Source organism: Homo sapiens, chromosome 5 (genome assembly GCF_000001405.40).
Source record: "Homo sapiens chromosome 5, GRCh38.p14 Primary Assembly".
In the NCBI taxonomy this organism is placed as follows: Eukaryota; Metazoa; Chordata; class Mammalia; order Primates; family Hominidae; genus Homo; species Homo sapiens.
Window position 1 is genome coordinate 142178023 of NC_000005.10, and position 21573 is coordinate 142199595.

General features: G+C 47.6%; 1 long non-coding RNA gene across 1 annotated transcript in view, besides 5 other annotated features; it reads right to left on the minus strand.

Moving 5' to 3' along the window:
* LOC107986455 (uncharacterized) overlaps window positions 1-15039 on the minus strand; it is a 38651-nt gene extending 23612 nt beyond the window's left edge. The window contains exon 1 of the long non-coding RNA XR_001742907.3: window positions 14903-15039. This is a non-coding gene — a long non-coding RNA (uncharacterized LOC107986455). The remainder of the gene's footprint in view (window positions 1-14902) is intronic.
* Window positions 2803-3321: an enhancer, noted in NCBI's record as "H3K4me1 hESC enhancer chr5:141560390-141560908 (GRCh37/hg19 assembly coordinates)". NCBI's record gives its function as "activates a minimal SCP1, AML or CMV promoter by ChIP-STARR-seq in naive H9 embryonic stem cells {active_cell/tissue: H9 hESC(naive)}" and the evidence as "EXISTENCE:reporter gene assay evidence [ECO:0000049][PMID:30033119]".
* Window positions 3548-3748: a silencer, noted in NCBI's record as "peak5506 fragment used in MPRA reporter construct". NCBI's record gives its function as "represses an SCP1 promoter by STARR-seq MPRAs in K562 erythroleukemia cells {active_cell/tissue: K562}" and the evidence as "EXISTENCE:reporter gene assay evidence [ECO:0000049][PMID:32103011]".
* Window positions 6282-7178: an enhancer, noted in NCBI's record as "H3K27ac-H3K4me1 hESC enhancer chr5:141563869-141564765 (GRCh37/hg19 assembly coordinates)". NCBI's record gives its function as "activates a minimal SCP1, AML or CMV promoter by ChIP-STARR-seq in naive H9 embryonic stem cells {active_cell/tissue: H9 hESC(naive)}" and the evidence as "EXISTENCE:reporter gene assay evidence [ECO:0000049][PMID:30033119]".
* Window positions 7179-8074: an enhancer, noted in NCBI's record as "H3K27ac-H3K4me1 hESC enhancer chr5:141564766-141565661 (GRCh37/hg19 assembly coordinates)". NCBI's record gives its function as "activates a minimal SCP1, AML or CMV promoter by ChIP-STARR-seq in naive H9 embryonic stem cells {active_cell/tissue: H9 hESC(naive)}" and the evidence as "EXISTENCE:reporter gene assay evidence [ECO:0000049][PMID:30033119]".
* Window positions 9048-9577: an enhancer, noted in NCBI's record as "H3K27ac-H3K4me1 hESC enhancer chr5:141566635-141567164 (GRCh37/hg19 assembly coordinates)". NCBI's record gives its function as "activates a minimal SCP1, AML or CMV promoter by ChIP-STARR-seq in primed H9 embryonic stem cells {active_cell/tissue: H9 hESC(primed)}" and the evidence as "EXISTENCE:reporter gene assay evidence [ECO:0000049][PMID:30033119]".
* Window positions 15040-21573: the final 6534 nt, after the last annotated feature.

Genomic DNA, 21573 nt, shown 5'->3' on the forward strand with positions numbered 1-21573 from the left:
TTTGGGAGGTGAGACGGGTGCCCACAAGAAACCGAGCAGAGGACAATGCAGCCCAAAAAGACTTGTAAAAATAAGCTCCAATATATTGTCTGGCCTGATAGCAATCTTTTATTGGTCACGTATTATGCACTTATCTTTAATATCTCTGGAAGACAGACAGACATTATCATTCTATATTTCAGATGAGGAAACTGAAGCTCAGATAGGTTACACAGTTTACCCCAGGCCACACAGCTCTTCAGTCTAGGAGACTGGTTCTGTCTGTATCAAAGCCCACTCTCCATTCAACCATGCTGCTCTGTTACCAGGCGGTAAAAGAAACAGTTTAGAGAAGGTGAGAGACAAGTTAGTTACTATCTACAAGGTATGTGTTACTTTTGAAATTTTAACTTTTCCATTTTTAGGTAATCATCAAAACAATGTGTTAGCAAGGTATTAAATGTATTGCAGCAGTTAAAAAAAATCTTTGGCAGGGCACAGTGGCTCACGCCTGTAATCCTAGCACTTTGGGAGGCCGAGGCGGGCGGATTATGTGAGGTCAGGAGTTCTAGACCAGCCTAGCCAGCATGGTGAAACCCTGTCTCTACTAAAATACAAAAATTAGCCAGGCATGGTGACACATACCTATAATCCCAGCTACTTGGGAGGCTGAGGCGAGAGGATCGCTTGAGCCTGGGAGGCGGAGGTTGCAGTAAGTTAAGATGGTGCCACTGCCCTCCAGCCTGGGCGACAGAGCGAGATTCTGTCTCAATTAAAAAAAAAAAGAAGCAGCAGCAAGGAAGGGAGCAGGCACCAGGCCCCATAAGGGCTGGCATAAGGGGAGGCCTCCCTGGCAGGTGCTGTGGCTTTGAAAGAGGGACACAGCCAGCCCAGGATGACTCCGCAGGGAAGGAGCTGGGAAAGTAACTCCCCAACTCCCCAACCTCACTCTGCTCTCTCCCTCCCCTCTCCTGCTGGTGCCTGAGTTCAGATCACTATACCTATGTTTCCCAAATGGTGAGATGGTTCCGGGAGGTTCATGGATAAAGATTTTTTTTTTTCTTTGAGATGGAGTCTCACTCTGTCGCCCAGGCCAGAGTGCAGTGGTGCGATCTCGGCTCACTGCAACCTCCACCTCCCGGTTTTAAGGGATTCTCCTGCCTCAGCCTCCACAGTAGCTGGGACTACAGGCGCCCACCACCACACCTCGCTAATTTTTGGATTTTTCGTGGAGACAGGGTTTCACTATATTGGCCAGGCTGGTTTTGAACTCCTGACCTTGTGATCCGCCTGCCTCGGCCTCCCAAAGTGCTGGGATTACAGGCATGAGCCACCGTGCCCGACCGGATAAAGATTTTTTAAAGTTTAATAATTATGTATTAAAATATACACGTGTCCATATCTATCAAGTGCTTCTATCTTCTTTATGTAATAAAATATTTACAAAATCTATTATTTCACAAGTGTTTATTTTTGGTACAAAGCTAAGCTACGTATTGAAGTTAAAGGTTGACTGGATTTGATGGACTGTGGTACGGGGCCTGGCAAAACTGCCTGGAGTTCAGGGAACCAGTGCTCCCAACAGACTCCACACTTGATCCTTTGATCTCTGACTTCACACATACACCATCCTTCCTGGGAGGTCAGGGGTTTTGGTCACCCACGGACACTTGTCCCTGATTTCTCAAGGTTACAGAGGGGGTTCCTAAGGCCTCATCCCAGAAACTCGTTCACCTCACCTGAGGAGCTAGGAGAGGAACCCTGCTTCTGTGTAGGCTCACTGAGTTACACCCCAAGTAAGAGTAGGCTGCCCCTAAGTCCTGCACTGCCCTGAAACCTGTCCCTGTGCTGAAAAATAATCCCACAGCAGAGCCAGCAGGGAGGAAGAAAGGGGAACCGGGACCCTGTGCCCACATTCTGGTCTCGGGGAAGCTCGGTAAGTACCACCCCCTTACTCCAGCCCCCATCTCCCAGAGGCATGTGGGGTCAGCCCAAAAGACAAGACACAAAGGGACTCTACCCAGAGATCAGTGGCCACTGGCTCGTCCCTCCCCTCTCACACCTGGGAAAAGATGAAGGCCCTTCTCCCTTCCCCCTTACAAGGAGTGGCACTGCCAGGAATCATTCTGTACAACAGGCCATTTAGCATTATCTCTGTGCTCTCCCCTGGGAGTGTCTGCTTCACCCAGAAAATGCCCCAGGGCACGTGCCTCTGTGCAGAGCAGCTGCAGGAGAAACCAGGGTACATTAGGCAAAGGCTCTATGCTATTATGATTTATCATGTATCTTATTATGTTACTCAGAGAAGTGGGTTGTCAAACTCTCGTTGAGAAGTGGCCATTTCTTTTGGAAAAGTTTGAATGGTAATTCCAGGTTTTAATCTTGGATCTACCAAAATTTGGGTAAACATTCCCTGTCCTCAACACCTTAGGTAGAAAAGTGTTGCCTGGGGTAGGCCTGGTTTACGCCTGTGACTTCTTTATTTTAAAAGAATTTTGGGCCGGCCATGTTGGCTCATGCCTGTAATCCAGCACTTCGGGAGGCTGAGGTAGGTAGATCGCTTGAGCCCAGGAGTTTGAGACCAGCCTGGGCAACGTAGCAAGACCCTGTTTCTACAAAAAATACAAAAACTAGCCAGCCGTGGTGGTACACGCCTGTAGTCCCAGCTACTTGGGAGGCTGAGGTGGGAGGATCACTTGAGCCCACAAGGTTGAGGCTGCAGTGAGCTACGATCGCATCACTGCACTCCACCCTGAGCAACAGTTGAGCGAGACTCCGTCTCAAAAAAAAAAAAAAAAGTATTTCAGAACAATAAATTATGGCTACCCTGCCCACAGGCACATGTGACCAATCTTCAGAAAGATTCTAGAATGTGGGGCTGGAAGAGATTTCCAAGGGTCTTTAATTCATTCTGTGGCTGGAAGGCAACAAGCAGACCCCACAACCCTGCTGTCCAGGAAGAGCCCCATGCCTGCCTCAGCCCAGCCCTCAGTCCAGCCCTTCACAGGTGTCTCCATGGTACAATTTCTCCTTCGTCTGCTTCTTCTCTCCTCTGCTCAGAATTCTCTGATGAGAGATGAGCAAACAGGAAAAGCTGGGACTGCAGGGGGAACAGCCTCCTGTTCCAGCAGCAAGGAGACCCTTGGACTTGAAGATAAGCCCAGGAGGTAACTTGTTCTCCTGGCTTCCTTGTGATAAAGGCAATAACTCTCTGAGGTGGAATCAGAAACGAAGAGAGGCGGCCAGTGAGTGTGGGTGACCCAAAGGGACCGCAGGGCGTGCAGGGCTGGTGCTGCAGGCCTTGTCTGCAGGCTCAGGGCCATGACCGCCCAGAACCAAATGGCCTTTACCCAGCTGAGCTTGCCTAGCTCCTCACTATCACAAAGGCTGCTGTAGGAGCCCCACCTGGCTCTCCCTGAGCTGGACCCCTGCCAGGGCTGCTTGCGGGGCTCTCAGCCTAATTCTAAGCTTCTTTCTGCTCCCCTCTCAACCAGAGCAGTCAGCTACTTCTTAGGGAGCAGACGGGACCAGAATGTCCTGGGGTTGGAAGGTTTGCTCTCTATTTTGTTATTCTGGGAATGATATGCTTGATTTTACTTAATTATAAGACATTTATTGAATTTCTGCCGAGTGGCAGGTAGCTGACTGTGCTAGGTGCTGGAGGTGCAAAGGTGAACTGATCCTGACTCTTCCCTGCAAGCACAGTGAGTTTGTGCCCTGATGCTCTGAACTACAGGCCAAGAATGGGAGCAGCGGTTCTGCCTCAGGCTGTGAGGAGGGCTGGGGAAGTCTTTAGAGGGGAGCAGACTTTAGGCAAAGCCTTGAAAGATAAGGGGAGTGATATGGTTTGGCTCTGTGTCCCCACCCAAATCTCATCTTGAATTGTAATCCCACATGTTAAGTGAGAGAGGGACCTCTAATCCCCATGTGACAAGGGAAGGAGGTGATTGAATCACGGGGGCAGTTTCTTTCATGCTATTCTCGTGATGGTGGGTGAGTTCTCACGAGATCTGATGGTTTTACAAGTGTTTGACAGTGTCTCCTTCACACACTTGCTCTCTCGCCTGCTCCATGTAAGACGTGACTGCTTCTCCTTCTGCCAGGATTCTAAATTTCCTGAGGCCTCCCCAGACCTGAAAAACTGTGAGTCAATTAAACATCTTTTCTTTATAAATTACCCAGTCCCGGCCAGGCACAGTGGCTCACACCTGTAATCCCAGCACTTTGGGAGGCCAAGGTGAGCAGATCACTTGGGGTCAGGAGTTCAAGACCAGCCTGGCCAACATGGTGAAACCCCATCTCTACTAAAAATACAAAAATTATCCGGGCGTTGTGGCGGCCGCCTGTAATTCCAGCTACTCAGGAGGCTGAGGCAGGATAATCGCTTGAACCTGAGAAGCAGAGGTTGCAGTGAGCCAAGGTTGCGCCACTGCACTCCAGCCTGGGCAACAGAGTGAGACTCCATCTCAAAAATAAATAAATAAATAACCCAGTCTGGGGCAGTTCTTTATAGCAGTGTGAAAATAGACTAATATAGGGAGCCTTTCCATGGTTGGCAAAGATAGGAAGGACTTTCCAGACCAAGGAAAATGCTTGAACAGATGTCTGGAGGTGTTGGAGGAATGGATACTGTTGGGTGAGATTGGAATGCAGGGAAAAGCTGGGGCAGGTTGGAGAGTCAGAGCTCAGAGGTGTGATGAGAAAGCCCTCTGGAGGCACACAGACTAGCTGCACAGCCTTGGGCAAGTCATTTCACTTCTCTCAGCTACAGTTTATTTATCTGTATAATGGGGATAATATAACCTACTTCATAAGATTGTTGTGAGAATTAAAAGATATATCAGATGTAAATCAGCCAGCATGGAGTCCGGCAAATACATGCTCACAAAATGTCAATTACTGGCACTGTTTCTACTGCTACTAATAAAAAGTGGGCTGTTCTTTTCTAAACCATGCGGCTTGAGTCACTGGAGTCAGCCAGCAGTGCTGCACTCCTATACCAGGTCAGGTCTTATGATTCCATTTAGAAAGATACTATCTGGTACAGGACGCTAATGGAAGAAAATGCACATGGCTGGCTTGCTTGGGGCTCTGCTGCCGTATTTTTCTGACGGTTATATCAGGCCAGCAGTGTGGCTCTTGACATCAGTAATGCATTCATTACTTTTTATTACACACCTATTTATTACAAACCTGCTATGTGTCAGGTACTGGATCCAATGTCTTAGTAAGAGTAGGTGAATAAAGCTGACAGGGAAGAGAGAAACAAATTCTTTTCAAAACTGACTTTGTAAATGTATTGGAAGCCATAATTTAACTGCGTACTATGACCCTGTACCTGGAAACTTGTTCGGGGTCTGGGGGGAGAGTTCTTTCTGTATGTCTCTATTATTGACATGTGAGTGCCTCAGGAGTAGCCACTGTGGGGACTGGGTCACTTTGTCCATTTGGACACTCGACAGGTATTTATGCACACCTACTATGTGCCCAGCAATATTCTATGCATTAGCTGGTCATTGAGATGTGAAGAGCTCTTTCAGGATGATAACGATTATCTCTAAAATGATCATTTTTGTTTTAGAAAGAATCAAGCCCACTTTCTCCTGCCTGTTCTTTCTCAGATAGACTTGGTAAGAGGAAGGGGGAAATGCATGCACCTGCATCGCTGTCAGTAAACTGCCGTTCAAGCAGCAACTTAAGCTGGAGTCAAATGCTACTCAGGAGTGATGGGCAGGGAAAGGGTTCGGGTGGGGTGGGGCGTTAGCTCCTGTTTTAGAGCTCTGGTTGTCTTTTTCTGTAGGGCGTGGGCTGGTTTCCCTAAAGGACAACTGCTGGACTCGTCCATCCAGGATGTCACATTTCACTCTCAGCTGACACAGTGATGGTGGTGGGGGGGAGTGGCGAATCCGTTCAAGGAAAAGGCAACTACTTACTTTCCCTACCCTATCCCCACACTTTGAAATCAGTATCTACAGGAGATAGTTTATCCCCTTATATTTATTTAGAGGAAAGATTTTCCTCAAACATGGTCAGAAGAAGACTAAAGAATAATAATGAAACTAATTTAATGGCCAGGTAGTAGCCATCATTTTGGAGAATTTATAATGTTCTAAGCAAATAGGTGCTTTTCATACATATCTCATTTAATCCTAACAACAATCTTGTCAAGTTCATGCTATCATTTCCATTTCACAGACAAGGAAAATTGAAACCAAGAGGATGGGTAAGTCCATGGTTACATAGTTGGTGAACAGAAAAGCTGGGAGTCTAACCTGTCTCTCTCAGGCTTCAGAGGGCATGGCCTCCACACCAGCACTCTCCTGGTGGAGGGGTTGATGCTGCCACGAGAGTCTCTTCTCCCCTTGATTTTTTCTCTTCTCTTCTCTTCCTTTCTTCCTCCTATCCCCTCCACCCATTTCTTAATGATTCTTTAATTAACCAAGCAAGGTTAGAAAACTTTGATGAGCTTCCTCTAGCAGTGGGGCCGTTTATCTTTTTTTCTTTTTTTTTTTTTTTTGAGGCAGAGTTTCGCTCTTGCTGCCCAGGCTGGAGGGCAATGGCGCAATCTCAGGTCACTTCAACCTCCACCTCCCGGGTTCAAGTGATTCTCCTGCCTCAGCCTCCCGAGTAGCTGGGATTACAGGCATGCGTCGCCACGCCCCGCTGATTTTGTATTTTTAGTAGAGATGGGGTTTCACCATGTTGGCCAGGCTGGTCTCAAACTCCTGGCCTCAGGTGATCCATTCGCCTCGGCCTTCCAAAGTGCTGGGATTACAGGCGTGAGCCACCACTCCCGGCAGGGGCCATTTATCTTTTTTTTATTTTTTTGAGACAGAGTCTTGCCCTGTTGCCCAGACTGGAGTGCAGTGGCACAACCTTGGCTCACTGCAACCTCTGCCTCCTGGGTTCAAGCAATTCTCCTGCCGCAGCCTCCCAAGTAGCTGGGACTGCAGGCACCCACCACCATGCCCAGCTAATTTTTGTAGAGTGGGGCCATTTATAATGAGGCACCGCCCTGGAGCTGCAAGGGTTAACTCTGGCCTGGTGTTCAGAGCCGAGTGCCTTGGCCTTGGGAGGCAGCTATGAGTCCTCCTTTCTAATTAAAAATCGTCACCACTGGCTTTCATCCCATGCTAACGAGAAGAGTGTATGTGAGTTTGTGCGCAGTGTGTGCATGGGTCTTTATCTCTACTTCCTGTTTCATATTTAATTTGACAATTTTTTCCAGTTTGTGGATGTGGAACACGTGTAAGGTTGGGAGCATCGTCTGTTAGTAATCATTACCGCATTTTGGGGCTGGCTTGCTCCCACTGAGCCTGACCAAAGTCTTGTGGATTATGATCTTCCCGCCTCCTGAAATTGCTTTGTCCTGATCACCCTGGTTCCTGAAGGGACTGCCTTCAGGGCAGCAGTTTTGCCTTGGAAACTTTTCCAGAAGTGCTGGGATGATTCTTGTGTGTCAGGGAGAGGGGAGGTGGTACAGAAGCCCGATTTGGTAGATAAAGAACTGCAAGCTCTGGAAAACACAGCCTCCCACACCCTCCACAGTAGTTGTTTGGATTGGGGTGAACCGTAGCTCCAGCCTTTGGGTCATCCTTCATCCAGGCTGGATGAGGACATGGTTAGTCTGTGTTCACTTCTGCCTTTTCTCCAAAGTCTGGGGCCCAAACCCATCTGGACTGGACTCTCAGACCCAGCCTGCCCCCTGCTCAGCAGCATGGTCTTGCAGACCCCTGTTGTGGAGTATAGGGCCTGAGCATAGCCTCAGAGTGAGACCTCATGAGAACATGATGGGCACTGGGGGGTTGGAGAAGCTTCACCTTCTCAGCCTATCTGTGGGTATAAGGCAGTGGAAATCCTGTTGGCCGTAAGGGTCCTAGGGACCCTATCCTCATGTCACCAGTCTAAGTGGGGATTCAGAGCTGCTATCCAGGTGCCTGCTGCAAATGCCCTAGTCCTCCCACAGTGGTAACCGTTCTTACCCTACTAACTATTGAGCCTTAGAAACACTTCCTGGGTGTTTCTGAGCCACTGAGATTTTTTTTATCATCAGACTGATTGCTAAGGATTATCTCATGTATTGAATGGGAGCAAATCAGTTGTAGAATAAGAGCTGGAAGAAATTTACCAATCGGTCTGACCTGGGAAGTACTGTATCTGGGAAGTACTGTTCCAAGACTGAGAAGTCTTGGAACTGCTGAAATACAGTGCACAATTCTGTGTGGTGTGCATCTTTCCAGGGAGAGGGTCCATGGCCTTCATGAGCTTCCCAAATTGTCTGGGACTTCTCCAAAAAGTTAAGAATCACTGGTACAATCACCCCTTCACCCCACCGAAGAGTGCTATAGAATGGGTCCCAATGAACAGGGTTGGGGGAGGTTCAGAGGGGGTGAAGTACTCATAGACTTGTGTAAATGGTTCTAGGTCTCATACTTTCAGGTGATGAGAGTGGGTGGGGGAGGATTGAGAGAGATAAATCCTTTGTATTTCTTTGCAGTAAATCGTTTATATTTCTTTGCATCAACTTTTGGTGATGAGAGTGGGTGGGGGAGGACTGGGTAGAAATAAATAGTTTGTGTTTCTTTGCAGACAAGGATAATCCATTTTTATTATTTGCTCTTAGCTTTGTGGATGTACATTAAAGAGTCTGAAGTATAAAGAATTATAACCATCCCAGACTCCCTGACTTTGAATAATCCATTATAAAAGTACAGTTCCTTTTATCACAATATTCTTATCTTCTGTTTGTTTCTGAGCTAAAAAGAAATGCCCTAAGCTACACCCCAGCTGCAGAGTTTCTAGACCAAAGGCTACTGTTTTTTTCCTGCAGGAACCCTGGGGTGTTTGGGGGTTAAAAGGCCTGGGCCAGCCATGTGTGTTTAAAAAACAAGGCTGACTCCAAAGCTGGTGGCTCCAGCCTGACTCCATCCTGCTGTTAATGGAGGACAGAGGACCACTTACAGCTTCCTCTTCACCCCATAACAAATAACCCGGCGCTCCCCCAGGCCTTCCTGCACCCCCACCCGCACCGCCCTCCCGGTGGTGGCAGCAGCAAGCGCATGTTCTGAATCTGGTTTCTCGGCAGGCCCTGTGGTCAGCCCCGACAAGCTGTCTGAGACCCAGCTCCTTTCAGAGATAAGGCCCAAACTAACCACATTAGCAGGGTGCTTGGCCTGTTTGCCTTGCCTCTGTCTTCTGTTTGGACACTCCAGAACCTCTTGCGCAGGGTGGAGGCCTTTGCCCTACAGAGTGTGGTCCAGCTTTGAGCAGAGGCTCCTCTGGTGCCTCCTCTGGGAAGTCCTCCCTGACTGCTCTAGCCCAGGTGATGGCTCTTTGTTGCATTCATTTAGCAAATATTTGTCATGCACCTTTTAAAAATTCTTTATCACAGCTTGTACAAACACAGCTTAGCATATCAGCACCGTCACTCCCATTTACTCATTGTGCACCCAGCTTGGCACTAAGCATCTGACAGAAAATATTTTATTGACTCAGCACGAGAGTCCTGTGAAATTGGCATCATCAGCATCCCATTTTACAGACAGGAAAATTGAGGCATTTTTATGTTTTGTTCTCTTTCCTTTTCCTCCCTCCCTCCCTTCCTTCCTCCCTTTCTTCCTCCCTCCCTCTCTTCCTTCCTTTCTTTTTGACAGGGTCTTGCTCTCTTACCCAGGCTGGAGTGCAGCGGCATGATCACAGCTCACTGCAACCTCAACCTCCAGAGCTCAGGTGAACCTCCCACCTCAGTCTCCTGAGTAGCTGGGACTACATGTCTGGCCACTGCATCTGGCAGTATTTCTTTTTCTTAGCTTTTATTATCCTCTGTGGTTACATCATGTGTTTATCTGGTTACTTGTTTCATATCTGGCTCAAGTATTATATCATGAGCTCCATGGGGCAGGGATTTCCCTCCCAAGGTGGTGGGGACCTGGCATGAGCAGTACCTGTCACCTGGGAGGTACTTAGTAGATGCTTGCTCAATGGCTAAGACACAGGAGGCTGTCACTAGTCCACAGCTTCATACCTGGTCAGCAGTGAAGCTGGGATTTGAACCCAGGTCCCTGTGTGCAGTCATTGCATCCAGTAGTTTCTGTCCATGTGTGAGTTCTTGTCCCCGGCCAGACCATCAGCTCCTTCAGGCCGGCCCAGGTCTTACCTGAAAGGGCACCAGGGCTTTGAAGTGGGGTCCACCTGGATTAAAACACTGGTTCCGCCACTCAGTTGGGTGACACTTGGAACATTCCCTATCCATTCTAAACCCACATGGGCGCATTTCTAAAACTGGAAAAATAATGCCTAGTTGTTGTGAGAACTGGAAATAGTATGTGGGGTGCCTGGTTTTATCATAGGTGCTCAGTGAAAGGACAGCTAACATGAGACCGGACTCAACCTAACTTCTCAGGAAGCCAGGGGACTGGGTTAAAAAAGCTTGGAAATCTGTCCTCTTTTATTAGATTATAAAACTATAAAACATGAGTACATGCTCATTGGAAGAAGAAGAAGAAGGAGAAGAAGAAGGAAAGGAGGGAAGGAAGGAAGGAAGGAAGGAAAGAGAAGGGAAGGGAAGGAAGGGAAGGAAGGAAGGAAGAAAGGAAGGAAAGAAGGCCGGCCACAGTGGCTCAAGCCTGTAATCCCAGCACTTTGGGAGGCCGAGGTGAGCGGATCACAAGGTCAGGAGTTCGAGACCAGCCTGGCCAACATGGTGAAACCTTGTCTCTACTAAAAATACAAAAATTAGCTGGGCTTGGTGGCGGATGCCTATAGTTCCAGCTACTCGGGAGGCTGAGGCAGGAGAATCACTTGAATCCGGGAGGCAGAGGTTGCAGTGAGCCGAGACTGCACCACTACACTCCAGCCTGGGCAACAGAGCAAGACTCCGTCAAAAAAAAGGAAGGAAGGAAGGAGAAGAAGAAGGAGGAGGAAGAGGAAGAAGAAGAGGAGGAGGAGGAAGAAGCAGCAGAAGAAATTAAACTGTATAGAAATCAAAAGTGAAAGTTTGTATACGCTTTTTTGCCCCAAATCCATTTTTTCCCCCAATAAGTAAATACTGTTGATGGTTTGGTGTATATCTTTTTGATAGTTTTAAATGTGTTTACCCAAATCACATATTTTTTACATAGCAAAATCATACTAGGCATATGGTTTTAAAAATTGCTTTTTTTGGCCGGGTGCGGTGGCTCACACCTGTAAAGCACTTTGGGAGCCAAGGAGGGCAGATCATGAGATCAAGAGATTGAGACCATCCTGGCCAACATGGTGAAACCCCATCGATACTAAAAAATACAAAAATTAGCTAGGTGTGGTGGCGTGTGCCTGTAGTCCCAGCTACTAGAGGCTGAGGCGGGAGAATCGCTTGAACCCGGGAGGCAGAGGTTGCAGTGAGCGAGATTGCGCCACTGCGCTCCAGCCTGGTGACAGAGCGAGACTCCGTCTCAAAAAACAAACAAAAAATTGTTTTTTTCATTAACCTATCTTGGGGGCCTTCCTCTGTCACTTCATTCAGATTCACAGCAATCTTCTTAATGGCTGTGCAGCATTTCTGGTATGGCTGGACTATAATTTATGCAACCATTCTCCTACTGATGGCTTTTTGCTTCCAATTTTTTCTCTATTTCATACAAGATGACAATGAATATTGTTTCTGTTATCTATTCCTAAGTAACAAATCCCTCGAAATTAAATGGCTTAAAACAATAATTCATTATTCCCCATGTTTCTGTAGGTGGACTAAGTGGTGGCTCTGCCTCCTGTGGTGCTGGACAGGGAGGGTCCGAACGTTCTCACTGGTGGGGCTGGTAGTTGGTGCTGGCTGGTGCTGGGCTGGGGCTATCCCCAGGAGCGCCTTTGGCTTCCCTCTTACTGGTCTCTCCATGTGGCTTGAGTTTCTCGCAGCATGGGTCCGGGTTCCAGAATGTCACTGCTGCCATACTCTATTGATCAAAGTCAGTCACAAGGCAAGCCCAGATTCAAAGGGGGTGGGAGCCAAGCTCTGCCTCTTGATGTGGGGTGCAGCATGTGTGCATGTGCGGGGAGAGGAAGACCTGCAGGGGGCCGTGTACTAATAATACGCACTCTCCTCAACATGATACAAGAGCACTTATTTCTCCATACCCTCACCAGGGTTGGATGTTATCCATTGTTTTCATCATAGTCCATCTCGTGGATGTAAAATTATAACTCGTTTTTAGTTTTAGAGGTGCTGAGCATCTTTTTATGTGTTTCACTTTAAAAAAATTTTTTTGAGACAGGGTCTCGTTCTGTCACCCAGGCTGGAGTGCAGTGGCACCATCATAGCTCATTGTAGCCTCGAACTCCTGGACTCAAGTGATCTTTCTGCTTTAGCTTCCTGAGTAACTGAGACCACAGGTGTGCACCCCCTCCACACACACACACACACACACACACACACACACACAATTTTAAGAGATGGGATCGTGCTATGTTGGCCAGTATGTTCTGAGAGTTCAATTTGGGAATAAGTCCATGAATTTCCTATACCATCAAAGAAACAGAATGGTAGTTTGGAGCTCAGAGGGGAGGAAATATCCCATATGAGGACTCTGATTCAGGGTTTCATCAGCTAGCTCTGCTGCCTGCGAACTGACTTTGAGAGAGAGTTTCAAAGTGTTGACAAGCAGATTATTAACCCTGTGTTATCTTCAGGCTCATTCCTTACTTATAAGGGCCTGTGCTTTCAGAGGACTCTGTGATTCCCAGTAAGAGAATGTCCTGCTCTTCAGTGAAATTGTGAGGCAGCTCTGAACTCTAAGCCCTGGGGCTGGGCAAAAAATGCCCTTTTAGTGGGAGGGAGTGGGCTACCAGTAGTAAGATGGCGGGTAAACCTCCGTTAAATGGCCTACTATTAACGTACATTTCAGGCTTTTTCCCTCTGCTATTCCCACGTTCCCAAGAGAAGAAAGGTAACAGAATATAGGCCATGGTAACTTTGATGGAATAGTCCAGGGTTTAATTCAAAGATGCTCACTGGTCAAAGTGGGTCCCACTGCTTTTCCAGCTTTTGATTCAAGCTTCAGTCTCCGAGAGTTTGCACACTAGTATGTCACACAGGACCATTTTGGTTATAAGACCCAGAAAAGCCCATGCCCACTCTGGCTTAATAACGAAGCAGTTTGGCTGGGCGCAGTGGCTCACGCCTGTAATCCCAGCACTTTGGGAGGCTGAGGTGGGTGGATCACAAGGTCAGGAGTTCGAGACCTGCCTTGCCAACATAGTGAAAACCCTGTCTCTACTAAAAATAGAAAAAATTAGCCAGACATGGTGGTGGGCGCCTGTAATCCCAGCTACTCGGGAGGCTGAGGCAGGAGAATGGATTGATCCCGGGAGGCAGAGGTTGCAGTAGGCCGAGACTGCACCACTGCACTCCAGCCTGGGCAACAGTGTGAGACTCTGTCTCAAAAAAAAACAAAAGAGAAAAGAAAAAAAGAAAAAAGAAGCAATTTATTGGATCATATACAAGGATGCCTGGGGGTGGGGATGAGAATGGAAGGGATTCAGGGCCCAAAGAGGACACACATCAACCCTGGACTCTCTCTTCCCTCTCTTCTCGCCGTAGACTCCTTGTGAAGACAAGATGGGGTGGCACCAGCAGCCCCTCAGCCTCAGGATCGAAGTCTAGCCAGAGAGAGTGCCCGTCTCTGGCTCTGCATTCCCAGGAAAGGCCTCTGTGGCCCATTGGCTCCCCTGGGGCCATTTTTCCTTTCCTGATCTAAGCCCCGTGGCCCAGGGAATCTGGAACAGTGATTGGCTTAGGCTAGGACGTGTGTTCCTCCCCATGGCTGTGTTTTGGAGCCTCACCTTGAGGGTGGCAGGGTGGATCCCAAACCAACCCTGGGAGCTGTTCCTGAAGGCAGAGGAAAGGATACTGGGCATGTCAGAGACAAAAGTGACTGTCCCTGGTTCCTCCCCAGAGCCTGTCACACAGTCATTCATTTAGAATGTAAAATCTACAGTGGAAGGAATTTGGGCCTCCTACCTGTCCTCAGTTAAAGCTAATTCATTTCCTCCCAGGACTAGTGTTAGCAAACAAAAAATCGTGGGTCGTCCAAGAACAATTACAAATGATCCAAAACCCTCGCTTCAGTCACGGGTTGTGGTCTTAGAGCTCAGCCTTCATGGAGGAGGTGATGAAAAAGCTGGATTCTAACCCTTCTTTGTCCCTCTCGCCCTTAAGGGGAGGTGTCTGAGCAGTGAACTGGCAACAAAGGGAGGAGTGTAGGAGCTGATGGATTGAGCCCTTTCTTTCAAAATGTAATTTACAGGATTATTATTTGTAAAGTTGATTATTGCAAATTATCCATGGGGGTCTAGGGTAAGGGTATTTATTGTCTTCAACCACAAGCCTACATAGTTTGGGGAAGCGAAACGTACTTCTTTTTTGTCAGGCTGGGAGAGCAACCCTGGGATGTGCTAACAGGCCCAATGGGGTCATTCGCTTCCTGTTAATCCTTTTATGGTTTACTTTTTTTTTTTTTAGAGAGAAAACTTAGGTTAAATATTTATTATACAGGAAAGGAATGCTGCTGCTTCCTCCTGCTTTTCCTGCTCTGTTGCTCATAATTGTTTAATAGGCAATAGCATGCAAATAGTATAAAATCTAAAAGGTACACAATGCGGTATGAGAAAAATACATGGCCCCCGGAACCTTTGTCCCCAGCCCCCTCCCCCACTGCCACCCCAGAGGCAGGCCCTGTTACCGGTTTCCATCATATCCTTCCTGAGATAGTCCATATATACTCCTTCTTTTTAATAGAAAATCGCACCACATACACATCATCTAAGGACAAATTATTATTTTGTCCTTTAAAATGAAACAATCAGAATTTTCCACCACTGTGACTTGGAAGCCCCAGAGTTAAGGCCCAGAGTTAAGGCCACAGACTTAAAGAGACAAATCAGTCCTCACCTCCAGCCAGCTGACCTGCTGACCACCAAGGCGTGCACGCTGTTTCCAGACGTTTACTTGCACTCGCGTATTCTCTGCCCCGCGGGGCACCCCCATTCACAGGGCCTGCACGCTGAACTGCTTCCTTGCACTTTTGACCAAAAATGGTCTCACTCACCATCATTGGACAAACTCCTCCTCACCTTATTTGCCGTCTGAGCTCCAAATGGCCTACGGTTTCCAGAAATAAAGTTGAAGGCTTGTCACCACTGAGGTTATGCCAGAGCTGATGGCTCAGAATCTGAAGGCCAGAAAACATTGCCAACAAGGGCAAGGTGCCACTGGGAAAGCATGAATGTAGTCCCTACTGTGTTCTTGGGCCTTGTGCTGGACCCTGAAGATAAAGCGAGAGAAAGTGCACAGTGTCCTTCCTAGCCTCGCTTAGTGCAGTCCCAGGGGGACGGGGCACAGGCGCTGTTGTAATTCAGTGCTCCTTATGTCCAGCTCAGTCCCGTTGGAGATGACCATGAATGAATGGCATTCACTTTTACAGACATAAGAGTTCTGCTGTTTAAAAAGAAAATCAATCACTCGATAGTCACATGTCTTACAATGCAGCAGAGAGATATGGAAATAGTAATAGTAATAATCCTCACTTTTCAAAAAAACTTTCTTTTTATTTATTTTATAATGACAAGGTCTCCCTATGTTGCCCAGGCTGGTCTTGAACTTCTGGCCTCAAGCAACCCTTTGGCCTCAGCCTCTCAAAATGCTGGGATTACAGTCAGGAGCTACCGCAACTGGCCCTCACTTGCTGATGAGGAAAAATAATTACTGTGCATAGGTACAAAACCCTGTACTTAGTACTTCTTCAGCCTTACTTGCTACCTCCCAAGGGCTCTGTGAGGTAGGGCTGAGTGTTGTCCTCATTTTACAGGTGTGCACTTGGCCTCAGGGAGAGGAAGTTAGCAGCTCCAGGTCACAAAGTTGGGGCATGGTGGCAGCAGCATTTGCACCCCGGGCCTTCTGATTCCAGTGCCCATGCATTAGGCCCTAGGCAAAACCACAGCCACTGGCACAGTGAAGCCACCAACCTGTCCTTTGGCAGTTTGTTCAGAATTTAAACTATTCGCCAGGCACAGTGGCTCACTCCTGTAATCCCAGCACTTTGAGAGGCCGAGGCAGGCAGATTAACTTGAGCTCATGAGTTCGAGACCAGCCTGGGCAACATGGCAAAATCCTGTCTTTACAAAAAGTGTAAAAAGTTAGCTGGGTGTGGTGATGCATGCCTATAGTCCCAGCTACTCAGGAGGCTGACGTGGGAGGATCATTTGAGCCCAGGAGGCAGAGGTTGCAGTGAGCCAAGATCACACCACTGCACTTCAGTGGTGATAGAGCCAGACCTTGTCTCAAATAAATAAATAAAATACTCTCTTAAAGTGAGCAATTAGTGATTTATAGGAGAAATCCTTTATTCCCAGGAGACAGGTAGACAGACTGAGCCCTCTCTGGATTCGCTCATTGTGTTCCGTAGAGAGGTAGCATCATTATTTAACAAAAAGAAACACCTCCGTTTATTTATAGTAGAGCTGTAACTTTTGTTCCCACCACTCTCAGTATGCATAGAAAGTGCAGCTTCTTTATTTAAGGCTATACCTGGTGGAAGCCCCCACCCCACTGCTACCCACTGGGTGGCTTGTATACATACACACACATGCCATTCTGAGCCTCTCTGGATGACATGCCTGTAGGGTGGACAGGGAAACTGAAGCTTAAAGAGCTTAAGTTATTGAATAAATCAAAATGAACTGGGCTAACAAAGAAGCTCATGGTAGACATTGATGAATTAGAGATAATTCAGGCCAGGTGTGGTGGCTCACCCCTGTAATCCCAGCACTTTGGGAGGCTGAGGTGGGTGGATCATCTGAGGTCGGGAGTTCAAGACCATCTTGGCCAACACGATGAAATCCCGTCTCTATTGAAAATAGAAAAATTTGCCGGGTGTGGTGGTGGGTACCTGTAGTCCCAGCTACTCAGGAGGCTGAGGCAGGAGAATTGCTTGAACCTGGGAGGCGGAAGTTGCAGTGAGCCGAGGTGGTGGCACTGCACTCTGGTCTGGGTGACAGAGTGAGACTTCATCTCAAAAGAAAAAAAAAAAGAGAGAGAGATAATTCTTTCAATTCTAAATTATTTTTATTATTATTATTTTTTGAGACAGAGTCTTGCTCTATCACACAGGCTGGAGTGCAGTGGCATGAACACAGGGAGCGGCAGCCTCAACCTCCTGGGGCTCAAGCGGTCCCCCCACCTCAGGACCACAGGTACATGCCACCACGTGCAGCTAAGTTTTTGATTTTGTAGAGATGGGGTCTTGCCATGTTACCCAGGCTGGTCTCAAGCTCCTGGGCTTGAGCAATCCTCCCGCCTCAGACTCCCGAAGTGCTGGGATTACAGGTGCGAGCCACTGTGCCCCGCCGGATTTTTTTCTTCTACAGATTTACTACATGCTGGCTAGATGTCCTTTGGCTGTCAAGTTCAATGTTCTCCTTAGATAGGTAAGCTTATGTTGATTTAAAAATTTTTAAATCATTTCATATTTTAAAATATTTATGTATTTATCTTTTTTGAGATGCAGATTCTTTTTTTTCTATCAGACAGACATTTCTCAGGAGCAAAATGTTCCTGGTTCATGGATGGAATTAAATATGTCAATATTTTATGATGCCTCATGTGGTGACCCCAAATCCAGCACGACCAGGACAAATCAGTCAAGAGGAACATTCCCTTAAGTGTGTTCCTTACAGCACTACTTCCAGGGTAAAAAACCTGATGATTTTTAAGAAGGGGCAATGGGCCAGGCATGGTGGCTCACGCCTGTAATCCCAGCATGTTGGGAGGCCGAGGAGGGCGGATCACTTGAGGTCAGGAGTTTGAGACTAGCCTGACCAACACGGTAAAACCCCGTCTCTACTAAAAATACAAAAATTAGCCAGGCTTGATGGCATGTGCCTATAATCCCAGCTACTTGGAAGGCTGAGGCAGGAGAATCGCTTGAAACTGGGAGGCGGAGGTTGCAGTGAGCCGAGATCTCACCACTGCACTCCAGCCTGGGTAACAGAGCGAGACTCTGTCTCAAAATTAAAAAAAAATTAAAAAGAAGGGGCAATGACAGGAGGTGTGTGTTCCCTGGTTCAATAGGTTTGGGATGCAGGTGAAGTAAAGCTAACTTTTTTTTTTTTTCCTTCTTTTTGAGACAGTGTTTTGCTCTGGTTGCCCAGGCTGGAGTGCAATGGTGTGATCTCAGCTCACTGCAACCTCCACCTCCCAGGTTCAAGCAATTCTCCTGCCTCAGCCTCCTGAGTAGCCGGGATTACAGGCATTCGCCACCAAGCCTGGCTAATTTTGTATTTTTAATAGAGACACGGTTTTTCTATGTTGGTCAGACTGGAGTTTGGTCTCGAACTCCCGACCTCAGGTGATCCACCTGCCTTGGCCTCCCAAAGTGCTGGGGTTACAGGCATGAGCCACTGTGCCCGGCACTTTTTTTTTTTTTTTTTTTTTTTTTTTGAGACGGACTCTTGTTCTGTTGCCCAGGCTGGAGTGCAATGGCACGATCTCAGCTCACTGCAACCTCTGCCTCCCAGGTTCAAGCGATTCTCCTGCCTCAGCCTCCCAAGTAGCTGGGATTATAGGCACGCACCACTATGCCGGGCTAATTTTTGTATTTTTAGTAGAGATAGGGTTTCACCATGTTGGCCAGGCTGGTCTCAAACTCCTGACCTCAGGTGATTCTCCTGCCTCGGCCTCCCAAAATGCTGGGATTATAGGCATGAGCCTCCGTGCCCGGCCTCACCAAATGTTTTAACTACTGGGCTTCCCAGTTTCATGGGACTAGTGTTGCATGAAACCTACTCTGGAAGCACTGACCTAGAGTGAACCATTCCCTTGCAGGGGAAAGCAAGGAACTCTTATTATCTTAGTATTTCCTTGTGACCAAAATCTATGGTCCCTGAATCAAAGAAGGAGCCTGCATGATGGAACCACTTCCATGCTCAGTGCTGAGTCCCAGGAACTAGTCCTTCATTGCTCTTGTCCAACAAACCCTCCCCATAAACGAACCAGGCCAGCACTGGCTTCCTCCTGCCTCTCCTAGAAGCAGAGGCCACTCCTGAGGAAGGTATCGGGATGTGCTGCTTGGCTTGGAAGTGGGAGATGGTCTGTTCCAAGCTCTGCTTATTCAGCCACAAAAAATAAATATCTTTCATCCACCCTCCCCCCGCCACACCATCCCTACATCAAACACTAGAGCTTTCCTTCAACCAAACAACACTCAGAAAGTAAGAGGGGGAAATGAGCAGGAATTTCAAGAATTTGCATGACACTTCCTTCTTCACCCTAGCACCATATTGCTTTAGACTGCAAATATGATTCTAGACGTGTAAGATTTAAATGACAACTGAAATTAGTTGTAACAGGATTCCACATCTGTTTTGTCGTTGTGTCGCCCCTTTGGCCAAGGTCTGAGAGACGGCGGAATCAACCAGAGCTAATAACCCGGCACTTTGGGAGGCCAAGGCCGGCGAATCACTTGAGGTCAGGAATTCAAGACCAGCCTGGCCAACATGGTGGAAACCCTGTCTCTACTTAAACAAACACACAAACAAAAAACAAAGGTATTAGCAAAATTCCTTTGCAGGTGACTGAGATTGACTCTTCCAGCCTGTGGGGAACTGGGTGGTTCTGTGAACATTTTAGGGCATTAGGAAGGAGACAGGCCCCATCTCCCAACCACTGGCACTGTAGATTGGATTGGTTTTTCCAATGAATAAAGACAGCCTGAATACATAAAGGGGGGACTCAGGTTGGGGGGACTCTGAAAGAATCTATAGATGAGAACAAAATCTTACCTACCCGGTAAAGACTTCTTGGGCCATATACCACCCTCTAACAGATTTATATGTCTGAGGTATAAAGCCAGCTCTTGGAGGAGCAATACTATAGAAACAAAGCCACAGAGAGTATAAATTTGCTGGCTGCACAAGCCATAAATCAGCGGTGAGAGGATCCAAGGCCCTGTAGAGACCCACTGCCTGCAGAATAAGAGGGCAGTGTTGCTCAAGGGGTCTCTGCTGGGCCTGCCTTTCCCACGGCAGAGTAACCAGAATTCTCCTCTCCCCTCTCCCTGCCCGCCCCGCTTCTGTCCTGTGAACTGAGATGCTGCTGATTACAGCCTGATGGTAAGTGGGATTCATTCCATTTCTGAAGGTCACCAATGCTCCCCAGAGCTCCTGCCACACAATCCTTGCTGTCTTGGATCATTTCTCACTGTGGTATTTCTTAGTTCCCTTCAGAGATTGTTGGCTTGAGGAGGCCGATTGTGCCTCATCTGTTTCCATGTACTTCACAACCACTGCTCAACTCTTTGCATTTGATAGGCGAATAAGGGACACTTTTGAGGTCATTGACCCCTGGTCCCTACAAGTGTCCCCACTTCAATCAAGAATGGGTCCAGGAAAGAGAGGTCAAGCCAATGGGTGCGAACACACGATTAGATAGAAGGTATAAGTTTTTTTTTTTTTTTTTTGAGATGGAGTTTCGCCATGTTGCCCAGGCTGGTCTCGAGCTTCTGGCTTCAAGTGATCTGCTTGCCTTGGCCTTTCAAAATGCTGGGATTACAGGCCTGAGGCCACTACACCCAGCCAGAAGGTATAAGTTTTTTTTTTTTTTTTTTTTTTGAGACGAAGTCTCGCTCTGTGGCCCAGGCTGGAGTGCCGTGATGCGATCTCAACTCACCACAACCTCCGCCTTCCGGGTTCAAGCGATTCTCCTGCCTCAGCTTCCTGAGTAGCTGGGATTACAGGTGCGTGCCACCATGCCCAGCTAATTTTGTATTTTTAGTAGAGACGGGGTTTCAACATGTTGGCCAGGCTAGTCTCAAACCCCTGACCTCAAGTGATCCACCCGCCTTGCAGAAGGTATAAATTCTAATGTTCAATGATAGCAGAGTAAGACAAATATAGTCAGCAACAATGTATTGATAAATACTGGAGGTGATGGCTATCCCAAATACCCTGACGTGATCATTAGGGATTCTATCCATGTAACAAAATATCACATGTAGCCCATACATAGGTCAAATATTATATAACAACTAAAAAAAAATAAAAATAGTTCCAGGAGCCAGGTTTGTACCATGTAACCCTGTCCCCCTTTAACCTTTTCCCAAACCTGTGGAACCATGAAACACATGCCTCCTGCCATACCCCTTTCGTATCATTGGTTCTTTTTCCCTGGAACTAATGCCCCTTAAGGAATACATGTAAGGGAGTGTCACTCCTGACTGACTTGTCCAGGTGGTGCTGAATTTGAGGTCACTACATGGGGTATCACAACATATTGACATATTTATTAGGAGGCCATAGGAGATGGGCGACTGACCCACGCTGGACCACTCAGAACCTCTTTCCTGAGAACTTGGAACTAGGAATCAGACTCTTTGGTTCCCATTGGTCTTTTGAACAGGAATAGGTAAGACAGGAGCTGTGGGTCATCATCACCATTTTCTGCTGTGTGCATGGGGAACAGAGGAAAGAGGTCTGCCAGGGAGAAGAATAGAGCAGGTGTGCGGCAGCAGCACTGACGAGCGACCATGTGGCCGGAGTCAGATAGAGGAAGGACGCCTGCCCCGGCAC